Here is a 13,396-nt window from a genome sequence, read left to right as displayed (position 1 = left end):
ATATATCCATGTCATCGCTCAGTCGAAACCTAGAATGTTTTCATCCCCTAGAAAGTTCCTTCTCAGCCTTTGTAGTCAACCCTCCCCTTGCCTAAGGAGGCAACCATTGACCCAGTTTCTATCACTGTAGCTTAGTTTTGCGTCCTTTGAAGAAATAGAAATTGTACAGTTCGTACTCTTTTTATATATGGCCTATTTTGCTCAATATAATGCTTTTGAGATTTATTTATGTTTTTATGTGTATCCGTAGTTCATTATAATTTTTTTAAATGAAGAGTAACATCTTAACTACTTCCCGCTTTCTGATCTATGGGATGAGACACCATCCACACGAAAATAATCCTCCACAGACTCTCCAAGCATGTCCGCTGTAGGCAGGAGTGATCCTATAACCTTCCTATCCTGGGAGGAGAAACAACACCTCCCCATTCCATTCTGGCCTGCCCCCTCCTCTGGCGGCAGCGCCAGTCTCAGGTGAGAGCCACCCTGCTTGTTGCCATTGTTCTGCGAGTGACAGCCTCGGGGGGCAAATGGAAAGCCGTCAACCTGAGGGCTGTCAACCGCAGACAAGAATTCCTTTCTTTGTCAGGCTGGGTGGTCTTCGTGGCTTCAGCATCAACCTGTACGAAGACGATAAACATCGTGTGCGCTTGCAGGAAAACATCGCCACCACCCAACAACTCTAACCACACTCCTTTGTGAGGCCAAGATTAGCCTGTATGTGGCTTCCCTTGACTGTGTACAAATCATCAAGTCCCAGCCCCAGTGAGGGCATCCAGAGGTCATTTACTCCATGTCCCCCCACCCAGTCCCCCCACCTGCTGCCTCATGACATTTATTTGTCCCAGAATCTTAATCATAGACAGCTGGAGTGTCCCTTAGAGATCTCCTGGTCCGACCCTCTCAGGCTACAAGAGGGGGTCCAGACACAGGCTGTGTCTGGGTCACACAGCACAAGGGCTAGGGCAAGGGCAAGAACCCACATCCTGCAAGCCTTCCCCTTTGGAGTATCCTTTCCACTACTCCAAACTGCTTTTGTTAATGTCACCTTCACCCCCAAGGTACAATGTAGTGCAATTTCTAACTTTCCAATAAAAAAGGAGCGTGTGTATGAATAACCTACATACTTAGGGAACCTCCTGCAGCCTGGGGTGTAAAGGCTTTCTTGCATTTGTGGCCAGGACAACCGAGGCCGCTTTCATTAAAGAATGGTTTGGTGCCCTCTACTGGCTATCAGTAACAATGACAATCACTGCCCCTCTTCCTGGGCATCTGCTGAGCAGGACATTCAACGTGCAAATTTATTTCTAATTTTGAATGCAAAGAACAGGCCTGGAGAGTAGGCAGTTTTATCCCAACTTTATAGAGGATGAAATTGAGGCTCATACATATTAAATAATCCGCTCAAGTTGATTGAGCCTGGATTCAAACCCAGCCCTGTTTCTTCCGCTCCTCTGTGTCAGCACTTCTACTGAACATGTGGGCAGGCCTAGGCTGGGACATCAGTGGCTTGCTCAGGGCCACAAGTCCAGTAAACCCCATGCTTGCTGTTCACCGTGCCAGGCTGCTTCCCAGAAGGAAAGTGACATACAAAGTGCCCAAGGAAACTTCTTCCCTGTGGTAGCCTTCCTCCAGAAGGGGCGCTAGGAGGGGACCTAGGGTGTCTCTGGGCCTTTCTCTGTACCCAGGCGTATGTGGTTAGGAGGTTCCAAGGGACTCAGAGATGCAGAAAACACATTTAATCCACTTGATTCAATGATGCTGTGCAACCGAGCCCTAGGAGTAAATGTGTGAGTGAATGAATGAATGAATGGAGTGGTCTAGACACTGGCGTGAGGACTAATGGCAGAGGCTGTGCAGGTCAGGGGTGGTTTTGCAGTTGTACTATAAAGAGATTGATCCCAATTTAATTTGAGGAATCCATTTCTATGGATCAGAGCAGTCCACAGATAGAGAAGGCTTCTACCGTGGGGGTGAACTCCACATCCCAGGGATATGTAAGCAAGTTGAGAAGACTTCAGTGGAGTTGTTGAAAGGGGATTTAGAGCCTATGTGTGTTTTGTTTTGTTTTTTTGAGACGGAGGCTCACTCTGTTGCCAGGCTCGAGTGCAGTGGCGCAATCTCGGCTCACTGCAACCTCCGCTTCCCTGGTTCAAGCGATTCTCCTGCCTCAGCCTCCCAAGTAGTTGGGATTACAGGTGCGTGCCACCACAGCAGCTAATTTTTGTATTTTTAGTAGAGATGAGGTTTCACCATGCTGGCCAGGATGGTCTCCAACTCCTGACCTCGTGATCTGCCTGCCTTGGCCTCCCAAAGTGCTGGGATTACAGGCGTGAGCCACCGCACCTGGCCGCCTGTGTGTGTTTTTAAACATTGGTGTAAACATTTAGAAACTGGAAGATTTCACATTAAAATCCAGATTTCTAACTCCTCTTTAACAAAGTGGGAGACGGCCTCACTGGGCCTGCTGCAGCCGGTCACTGCTGCCCCTCCCCTCTGCGTTGTCCCCCAGCACTGAGGATGACCAGCAGAGGTTACTTCGCCTCACACATGTGCTGTTGTTTTTCTTATTGTAAAAACAAATAAGAGTAGCTGGGACTACAGGCACACACCACCACACCTGGCTAATTTTTACACTATTTTTTTCCAGAGGCAGGGTCTCCCTGTGTTGCCCAGGCTGGTCTTGAACTCCTGGGCTCAAGGGATCCTACCACCTCAGCGTCCCAAAATGCTGGAATTACAGGCATGAGTCACCGTGCCTGGCCTGAAGTTTTTTTCAAAGGAAAAGAGAAATTTTAACAGGAGGAAAAAGAAAAATTGAGTACAATGTATTTGTTTGTGTAAATAAAGACATTTCTATACATTTTAAAGGCAAACACCTGACTTGCTTTTATTACCAGCTTGGACTCCACAGCATCCTGAGTTTGCTAGCCAGTAGAGTCTTTGGCACCTTCTTATCTCTGCAGTGTGGACCTCAGGTCAGATTCTCACCCTGTTGCTGCTTCCGTCTTTAGCTTCTGAGAGATGGGGGACGTGGAGCAGTCCTGGGTCTCATGGTCTGAAGGGAGAAGAAATCCTGCCCAGGCAGACCACTGTGAATGTCCAGGTAAGTGAGAGCATAAAGTCCTGGCAGACCATATCTATGCCCTCTGCCCTAGAGGAGCCCTTTGGAGATGCAGTGCCTGGTCATGAATCTGCACTTTCTTCCTGTGATAGGGTTTCTTAACTCTTCCCTCCCCGTCCTGGCCACATAGATGGCTCTCTGATTCCCTGGTGGTGTCTAGATCTGAACACAAGCTCCAGATGTGGTTTAAGCAGCCCCAAACAGCGGGACAAACACCTCCCTCAGTTCAGGCCCTGCTTTTGTTCTTGTCACCTCAGGTCACACCATCTCTTTTCAGAAGCCATGTCACACTGTTGGTTTCCACTTAGCTTGTAGGACACCAAGGCCATCAGATTATTTTATGAGCCCTTCTCAATAGTGATCTACCCCTACCTAACATGAAAATCATAGACACTGAAGGTTGAACATTGTCCTGAGGTCATCTAAGGCCGCTTCCCACACATGCAGAAAGAGACCCTTTCCTCATATACCCTGTATTACTCCATTCTCATATTGCTATAAAGAAATACCTGAGCCTGGGTAATTTATAAAAATTAAAGAGGTTCAATGGACTCACAGTTTCACATGGCTGGGAGGCCTCACAGTCATGACAGAAGGTGAAAGAGGAGCATTGGCACCTCTTACATGGCGGTAGGCAAGAGAGCATGTGTAGGGGAACTGCCCTTTATAAAACCATCGGATCTCATGAGACGTATGCACTAGCACAAGAACAGCCAGGTAAAACCTGTCCCCATGATTCAATTACCTCCCACTGGTTCCTCCCATGATGCCTGGGGATTATGGGAACTACAGTTCAAGATGAGATTTGGATGGGGACACAGCCAAACCATATCACACCCTTACAGAATTTTTTAACTGAAGTGAGGAATTTATATTTCACTCATTGCTCCATTCCTCCAAGAATGGATCTTGATTTTGTCAAAAGACACATTAGTCATCTTTTCCAGTTCTATGTCATTCATAAATTTGATGAGGACAGTTTCTACATTTTTATATATGTTGGTACATACTGGTTATGCATTCTGCTCATCAAGGTACCTCATAGTCATTGTAGAAAATTTAGAAAATAGAGAAAGCATAAAGAAAAAAATTAAAAAGCCTGTGATATATAGAATATATAAAGAACACTTACAATTCAATAATAAAAGGCAAATGAATCAATTTTAAAATGGACAAAGGATTTGAACACATAATTCTCTAAATAAGATATACCGATGGTCAATATACACCTCAAAAGATGCTCAACATCATTCATCATTAGGGAAATGCAAATTGAAACCACCATGAGATACCACTTCTCACCCAACAGAATGGCTATAAACAAAAAGATAGGTGTTGGCAAAAATCTGGAGAAATTGGAACCCTCATATACTGCTGGTGGGAATGTAAAATAGTGCAGATACTTTAGAAAACAGTCTGGCAGTTCCTCAGAATGTTATGGAGTTAAATATTCCCCAGCAATTCCACTCCAAATTCTATATCTGATTAAAATGATCATATGCATCCACATAAAAACTTTTACACGGATGTTCACAGCAGCATTACTCATAATAACCAAAAAGTAAAAACAACCCAGTGTCCATCAGTGGAGGAATGGATAAATAAAATATGGTACATCCATATAATGGAATGTGGCTTGTCAATAAAAAACCAAAATATCATGCAATACATAAGAACCCTGAAAACATTACGCTAAGTGAAAGAAGCCAGACACAAAAGGCCATGTATTGCATGATTCTATTTATGTGAAAAGTCCAGAATAGTCCAATTTCTGTCTATAGAGAAAGAAAACAGATTAATGGTTGCCCAGGGCTGAGGAGGCTTGAGGGGAAATGGGGGTTTGACTGCTAATGGGTATGAGGTTTGTTTCTGGGGTGATGAACATGTTCTAAAATTGATTGAGGCGATGGTTGCACAACTCTGTGAATATACTGAAAATAATTGAATTGTACACTTTAAATGGGTAATTTGTATGGTATGTGAATTATATCTCAACAAAGCTGGGAGACACTACCTTTTATGAGTGCTCTGTGTAATCTCTCTAATTGTGTTCTCACCAGTGGTGGATGAAGTGTCAATCAGCAGCATTGGCTGGATATGAGTCCACTGTGGGCCAGCTCCTCTGCTGGTCCCTGGATGCAAAGGAATTCTGCCTCAAGAAGCCAGGCACATCTTGTATCATCCAGGGGAAATAAGCATCAGCATCATTATAATACAAGATGCAAGGTTGGAAAATGGGGGTCCTTAGAAGATGGGGATGAGGGGCCAGGGATAAGCCTCAGAGGGGGGAAAAGATTACTTCCAGCTGAAACATTGGAAAAAGGCTTTGAGGAGAGGGAAATTGTATCCTTTCCGATAAGATTGTGACAGGTGGTCATGGACATGACCAGAAGGAGTCTAGATTAGACTTTAAGCTCCTTGAGAGGAGGACCATGACTAATTCATTACTGGTTCCCAGCATAGGACCTGGCTTGAAGAAGGTGCATAGTAAACTTTGTGGAATGCATGAATATACGAATGAAAGAATGAGTGAATGTATAAACAAAAGATTTACAGGGAAAGAAAACAGCATGAGCAAAGCATGGAAACAGAAGGGCACAGGACAGGCCTAGAAAATGCAAACTTGTCCAGTGTGGCTAATGTATAAGGTTCATGATAAAGGTTTATGGAAGGAAAGTTCCTGAAGGGCTACAGGAACCAGGTGATGGGAACTTACAATTAGCTGCAACTGGGAGTCAATAAATGATTTTTGAGCAAAGGAATGGCATGGCAAAAGCTGTACTTTAGAAAGATGGAGCTGTAAGCCAATGTGGAAGATGGATTAGAGGGGTCAGCCTGGAGTCTGGGAGACCAGTTCAGAGGCTATACAGGTAAAATTTGGGGGGAGCTAAACCAGGACAGTGGCAGTAGAGCCAAAGAAGGGATTAAGGCCAGAGACACTCAGCCCCTTTCCAAGCATTATAAACACTACAAAAACAAATGCATCTGGTGATAAATATTTCACCCATTCAACAGAACTATACGTATTAGAGGATGCACTTGCCAATAAAAATATTAGTGGTTTGTGGTTTGAAGCTGCAACCACACTTGTTATAAAGATAATTGAAAGGAAAACTCCCATTTGGGGTAAGAGAGGAGGAAACCACAAGACCATAACCCCATTATGACCAGAGTTCATCTACATAATGGGTGAACCCTGGACCATATTCATCCTCCCTTGGCTCTACCCATGATGGGCAACAATAACTCCAAGACTAAGCTTGAGGCAGAGATGCCCTCTCTGTTTCAAGCCACCTGGTTAGCCACGTAGGGTACTGGCAAGAACCTGGTCTGATTCCAGCTCTGTGCTAACCCATGCAGGACAATCTCTGGTGGAGGAAGTAAGAGGGTAAGAGGGAGACTTGTTCCAGTTTAGAGACTTATAATTTGGTGGTTGAGACTATTAATGCTGGGGCTGGGCTGTGCCTGCCTGAACCCAGCTCTGTCACTTATTAGCTGTATGATCTTGAACAAGTTGCTTAGCATCTCTGTGCTTTAGTCGTCTCATCTCTAAACTGAGACTGGTGAATATGCTTAAAAACTGCCTAGTATTATAGTAAGTACCATATAAGTGTTTGCTATTGTTATTGTTATTATTACAATAAATAATGGCCAATGCTAGACAACAATAGAATGGGTTGTTTGTTCTCAAGTGGAGTGTTCCCCATCACCAAAGTCACACAAGCAGAGACAAGGCGGTTGTAGGGTGCAGCTTTGGACTATGAGTTGTCAGTGCTAAAGAGATATGCAAGTAGTCTTACTCAGTATTATTCATTCAATTTATTTAACTCCACAAGCATTTGCTGAGCAGCTACTCTGTGCTGGATACCATGCTAAGCCCTGGAGATACTGGGATGAATCAGACAGCCTTAGCTCTTAAGGACCTGAAAAGCTAGTGAGGACGGCAGGTGGGTATCACTTCTGGTGGGCTAAGTGCCACAGCACCAGCACAGAGGAGGATCAGGGACAGCCAGAGGAGAGAGTCCGGCTTCCAAAAAGCTGCAACGGGAAGCTAAAGACCTCTGGGCCATATTCAGGATCTAGGGATGCCGAGTGGGAAGACCTGCCCTTGCTGGTCTGTGAGTGGTGAAGATTTTGGCATCCAGAGCTGATGGCCCTGTCCTTAGTTGAATCAGTTGTACACTTCTACTCCTTACTGCTTTTGGAAAGACAATTCTTGTGAGTCTTCAAGATGATTTTGAAACCTCTCCGTGCACATATTTTGTTGATAGATGCTCCACTATGATGTTTTTGCCCAATTCTTTTTTTTCTTTTGGTTCGGGGAGGCTGAAATCTAAGTTTCTTCAGAAGGAGGATTTGTCTGGCCAATCACAGAAAAAAGAGACTGCATTTCCTGGATTACTACATGAATGCAGCTTAAGGCAACAGGATCAGGCTAATTTCTGTGTTGCTGCATCCTTGTTCCAGAAAGATTCCCCGCTTGGTGTGTTTCTTCTCACAGATGTTTCCCTGTTGTGAATTGATGCCAATGATGTTCAAAGTGACCACATTAAGAAGTAAAGCCCCAGGGAACCAGGGGAGAAATAAAAACAAAAAAGAAAGCCACACACAGGTACTATTTACTAGATAATAAAGACAAATGTGTTCATACCCTGTCATCTCAGGCATGAGTCACCCCGGTAACGCACTTAGAGAGCAGGCCCTGTCAGGAAACACTGCCAAGTTTCTCACTCTCCTTTCTGGCCTCCATTCTTACCTTCCTGCTCTTTTTGAGGCTTCGGTGACGGCTTTCAATTCTTTCTATGTTTTGTTAAGTATTCCTCTTTGAGCCAGGACCACAGCTGGTTTGGGAGGTGAGGGAGGTAGAAAGCAGGGAGATAAATGCAGTCACAGGTTTCCCCGAGACTGAATCAGGAGACTCAAGAACACATCTACTGCTCTATTTTCCTTGCCTGTTTCCCTTTTGTGCCCTGACCAAAATGACTCATGCTGCTTTGCTCTGGGCAAGCCCTCAAGCCTCTGTCACCCTGTGGGCTATATGCATTCTTCTTTTCTCCAAAGGAGTCATTTTTACCCAACTATACGAAACTTGCTAACGAAAGTCAGTACACCAAAGAAGGAGTTACCGGCCAAAGAAGAACACAGTTACAAAAGCTGCCAAGAGTTACAGAATCTAGAGCCTATACAACATCCGAGCTGTAGGTCACATTCTCCAGCATTGAGGCTTGGAATGCTTTGTTGGGGAGGAGGTTCTCCGGATTAATTATTTTCAAAAGGTTACCTTGGGGGAAAACTGTGACCTTGTCCTCTAGAAATATTTCACCACATGAGAGATCATTAGGGCTATGGAGTCCATAAGGGCCATCTAGTATGCGGGCTCTCAAATTTGGCTGCCCATTAGAATGATGTGGGGGGGGGGTGTGGGGCTTTACAAAATCCTGATGCTCAGATCTCACTCTGACCCCATGACATCAGAATCCCTGGGGGTGGGGCCTAAGCATTGGTATTTATTAAACACTCTGGGTGCTTCCCGGTACAGCCAAGTTTGGGAACCTGTAATCTAGACCCTTACCATTCCAAGTGTGATCTGTGGTGCCGTAGCACCACCAGAGATAATGGCATTTCTTATTAGACACTCACATTCTTTACTGTAATGGTAGACACATGCCATTATACATTTGTTCAAACTCAGAATGTACAACTCCAAGAACAGCCCTAATGTAAACTATGGACTTTGGGTGATGATGATGTGTCAATGTAGCTTCATCAGTTGTAACAGATGCACCGCCCTGGTTGAGGACGTTAATAATGGGGGAAGATATGTATGTGTGGGAGCAGGGAGTATGTGGAAAATCTTTGTACCTTACTCTCAGTTTTACTGTGAACTTAATATTACTCCAAAGATAAAGTCTAAAAAAAAAAAGAAATGCATATTCTTGGGTCCTACCATAGACCTACTGAGTTAAAATATGCATTTTAACAAGTTACCAAGAGACCTCTACATGCATTCAAATTTGATTTTTGCTTTTCTTGAAAGATTGAAAAATCTGGCAACAAGGGTCCCAAATTCTTTCTTTAAAACTATCAGCTGGAGTTGTATAGTAGGTGTCCTCTTTAAGGGAGATCTCCACACTCCAGTTCGCCTCAGTTTCACAACGGGCTAGGTTCATTAACTTCTATTACCTACCTGAGCCCAGAGAGATACTGAGTTTTTTTTAAATTGTGGTACAATATATATAAAATAAAATGGACCATTAGTGACATGTGGTACATTCACAATGTCGTGCAACCATCACCACCATCTAGTTCCATAACATTTTTATTGTCTCAGAAGGAAACCCCTTATCTATTAAGCACTCATTCCCCGGTTCCTCTTCCTTTCAGCCCATGACAACTACTAATCTGCTTTCTGTCACTGTAGGTTTGCTTATTCTGAATGTTTCATGTAAATGGAATCATACACTCTGTGGCATTTCATGTCTGGCTTCTTTCACTTAGCATCGTATTTTCGAGGTTTATCCATGTTGTGGCATGTGTCAGTACTTCATTCTTTTTTATGGCTGAATAATATTTCTTTGTATGGATATACTATATTTTGTTTATCCATTCATCAGTTGATGGGCAGTTGGGTAGTTTCCAGCTTTTGGTTATTGTGAATAGTGCTACGTGAACGTTTGTGTGCAAGTTTTTCTTCACACACCTGTTTTTAGTCTTGTGGGAACATACTCATGAGTGGAATTACTGACTCATATGGTAATCCTATGTTTCGTGTTTTGAGGGACAAACTGTTTTTCGTGGCAGCTGCACTAGTTTACATTCCCACCAATAATGTATGAGGGTTCCAATTTTTTTTACATCTTTGCCAATACTTCTTTTCTTTTCTTTCTTTTGTTCTTTTTTTAAATTCTAGCCATCATCATTAAAGACCATAAAGGCCACTTTGATTAAGTCTCTTTGGGAGGTTTGAGGGCCATCTTCTAGTTTTTTAAGTTTCTTTCAGACGTTGGGGGCTGACTGGGAAATGAAGTGTAAATGGGTAGGTAGATTCTGCCCCCATTGGTATCAGGGCTTAAGGTGGTATAATTAGTTATGGCCTCTGAAATGCGGGAGAAGAAAAGAGCAGGGTTTTCATTGGGGCCTTGAGTGATTTCTTTTATCTTTTCAGAGTTTACAGCCTTAAGGGCAGCTTTATCCATGCCAGCTAGGAGGCATGATATCATATAGCTTCGTTTCTGTCTGTCTGAGGAAACTGCTTCATAATCCCAATTGGGGTCAGTTCTGGGGACAGCTAGGGTCCCTATAAGGTTATGGGCAGCATCTTGTTGGTGGAGGGTGTCTGCATGGGCCTGGGTGGTTGTCTGGATACATTCCCTGTCATCCGGGATGAGGGAGGAGTAGAGGATGACATAAACGTCATGCCAGGTAAGGTCATAAGATTCAGTGACATACAGAAATTCCTTGTGGGAGGAGCTGGGGTCGGTGGAAAAGGAGCTAAGTCTCTTTTTAAGCTGGGAGAGGTTGGCTAGGGAGAAGGGAACATGAACTTGGACTATGCCTTCGGCCCTAACACCTTTCTCAAGGGAAGGACTTTGTAAGACCTTTGGTAGTGGGAGTGACCTTTGGCAGAAGGGGGTTGGGTGCAAGACCGGGTGTGCAGTGGAGAAGGAAGGTTGGGATGGAGGACCAGGATAAGGGGGTGGGGGAGCGGAGCCGAAGGAGAAGGAGGAGGGGATGGTGGTGGGAGGGGGACTGAGAGAGGGGGTTTGTTGGCAGGGTTGAAATTACAGGAGGAAGGCTTGCCTGGAGGTGTGAAGTGGTATCTCACTGTGCCTTAATTTGCATTTCCCTAATGACTAATGATGAATATATTTTCATGTGTTTGTTGGCCATCAGTACATCCTCTTCGGAAAAATGTCAATTTAAGTCCCTTGCTCATTTTTAAATTGGGTTGTCTTTCTGTTGTTGAGCTGAAAGTGTTTGTTATAAATTCTGGATACTAGACCCTTATTGGATATCTGATTTGCAAATATTTTCTCCCATTCTGTGGGGTTTTTACCCCAATTTTCTTCATAGTGTTCTTTGACGTAGAAAAGTTTTCAATTTTTTTTTGACCTCTGAACTTTTTATTGGCCTCCTGCTCCCCAAAGTGTACCCTGCTTCTGCTGGCTTAATGTCTCAGAACTTTGGTGTCGTTGGTCAGACACCACTTTGCCATCCACTATCCGGCGGGTGGTGGTCTTTTGGATGGTTTGCATGGAGTTGCTGCTGTCCAGGGCATCACCAAGATTGAAGTCCTTGCCATCCTCCAGCAGGCAGCAGTAGGCAGTGCTCTCAGCCTCCAGCTTGACCTTGATGTTCAGCAGGGCCTTGTACTCTTGAGCCTGGCACTGTCCCTCTGCCCGGGTCTGTGCCAGCTCTGACTCCAGGTGCAGCAGGATCCCGTTGAGCTGCTCCCTCTGCAAGGCATAGCGGGCCTCGACCTCCCTCAGGCTGTTCTCCAAGCTGGCCTTCAGATTTCTCATGGAGTCCAGGTTGATCTTCAAGGACTGGACTATACATCTCAGCTCCGTGAGCATCATCCCAGCAGCTCCAACCTCGGTGGACTGCGTGGTGACCACTGAGGTGCTCTCCTCAATCTGCTGAGACCAGTATTTGTCCAGCTCCTCTCAGTTCTTCCGAGCCAGCTCATCATATTGGGGCCGGATGTCTGCCATGATCTTGGCAAGGTCCCGAGACTGGGGGCATCTACCTCCATGGTCAACCCAGAGCTGGCAATCTAGGCTTGTAGGCCTTTTGTAATGCCCAACCTCATTTTTCCTTTTTCACCTAGGCTTGTTTCCACCTGAACAGACTCTCCCTTAGCTAAGAGAACCAGACAAACTCCATCTTGGCTCTTTCACTGGCAGCCCCTTCCTCAAGGACTTAACTTGTGCAAGCTGACTCCCAGCACATCCAAGAATGCAATTAACTGATAAGATACTGTGGCAAGCTATATCCACAGTCCCCAAGAATTCATCTGTTTGATAACGCCCAAAGCCCTGCATCTATAACCTTGTAATAGTCTTAAAGCCCCTGCATCTGGAACTGTTTACTTTCCTGTAACCATTTATCCTTTTAACTTTTTGACTACTTAACTTCTGTAAAATTGTTTTAACTAGACGACCCCCCCTTTCTAAACCAAGGTATAAAAGTTAATCAAGCCCCTTCCTCGGGGCCGAGAGAATTTTGAGCGTTAGCCGTCTCTCGGTCGCCGGCTAATAAAGGACTCTTAATTCATCTCAAAGTGTGGCGTTTTTTTAACTCGCTCGGGTACAACACTTTTACTTCCTCTTCGTGGTTCTTCTTCATGAAGAGCAGCTCCTCCTTGAGAGCTTCGATCTCTGTCTCCAGCTGCAGCCGAGTGACACTGGTGTCATCAGTGACCTCCGGAGCCCATGGATGTGGCTCTCCACAGACTGGCGCATGGCCAGCTCTGTCTCATACTTGACTCTAAAGTCATCAGCAGCAAGACCAGCATTGTCAATCTGCAGAACAATGCAGGCATTGTCCACAGTATTTGTGAAGATCTGAGTCCTCAGGCCCTCAATGGTCTTGAAGTAATGGCTCATCTCTGACCTGGGGTCCCTTCTTCTACAGGTGCTCCTGGATTTTACTCTCCAGCTTCCAGTTCTTGGCCTCCAGGCTCCTCATTCTGTCCAGGTAGGAGGCCAGGCAGTTGTTCAGGTTTTGCACGGTCTCCTTCTTGTTCTGGATGCCTCTCATTCCTGCCAGACCCCTGGCCATCCCCGCGGCCAGGCCCCCGGAACCCATGCTGCTCAGGTAGCTGGTGGAGCGGGACATGGAGATCCGGGAACCAGAGCCCCCGTGCCTGTACAGACGCTGGCTATGCTGCTGACCAGCCGGACACCGTAGCTGGGTGCCTGGACAGAACCCAGGGACCGGTAGTTGGTGGAGAAGGTGGAGCGAGTGGTGAAGCTTATGCTGTCCAGGGAGGAGAGTGAGAGGACAGGACTCAGGCTTTGCCGACGACTTTAATTTTTTTTTGAGACAAGATGTTATTGTGTTGCCCAGGCTGGAGTGTAGTGGTGCCATCACAGCTCACTGCAGCCTTGACCTCCTGAGATGGGTTCTTGTTACATTGCCCAGGTTGGTCTTGAACTCCTGGTCTCAAGCAATCCTCCTGTGTTGGCCTCCCAAAGGGCTGGGATTACAGACATGAGCCACTGCACCTTGCCAATTATTATTATTTTTTAATAGTGACAGGGTCTCACT

General features: G+C 45.2%; 1 long non-coding RNA gene and 1 pseudogene across 1 annotated transcript in view, besides 2 other annotated features; one reads left to right on the top strand and one right to left on the bottom strand.

The window, feature by feature from the left end:
- PTCSC2 (papillary thyroid carcinoma susceptibility candidate 2) overlaps positions 1 to 12,401 on the top strand; it is a 153,456-nt gene extending 141,055 nt beyond the window's left edge. Inside the window, exons 10-11 of the long non-coding RNA NR_147055.1 lie at positions 3,015 to 3,106; positions 11,955 to 12,401. This is a non-coding gene — a long non-coding RNA (papillary thyroid carcinoma susceptibility candidate 2). The remainder of the gene's footprint in view (positions 1 to 3,014; positions 3,107 to 11,954) is intronic.
- Positions 7,123 to 8,322: an enhancer, noted in NCBI's record as "CDK7 strongly-dependent group 2 enhancer chr9:100465986-100467185 (GRCh37/hg19 assembly coordinates)". NCBI's record gives its function as "activates an origin of replication core promoter dependent on BRD2, BRD4, P300/CBP, MED14 and CDK7 cofactors, with strong dependence on CDK7, by STARR-seq in HCT116 cells {active_cell/tissue: HCT116}" and the evidence as "EXISTENCE:reporter gene assay evidence [ECO:0000049][PMID:35650434]".
- Positions 8,019 to 8,138: an enhancer, noted in NCBI's record as "active region_28677". NCBI's record gives its function as "activates an Ori minimal core promoter by ATAC-STARR-seq in GM12878 lymphoblastoid cells {active_cell/tissue: GM12878}" and the evidence as "EXISTENCE:reporter gene assay evidence [ECO:0000049][PMID:35858748]".
- On the bottom strand, positions 11,233 to 13,154 carry KRT18P13 (keratin 18 pseudogene 13; annotated as a pseudogene).

The sequence above is a fragment of the Homo sapiens genome, chromosome 9 (genome assembly GCF_000001405.40).
Source record: "Homo sapiens chromosome 9, GRCh38.p14 Primary Assembly".
Lineage (NCBI taxonomy): Eukaryota > Metazoa > Chordata > Mammalia > Primates > Hominidae > Homo > Homo sapiens.
Note: the sequence above shows the minus strand (reverse complement) of the source record. Positions and strands in the feature narration are given on the sequence as shown.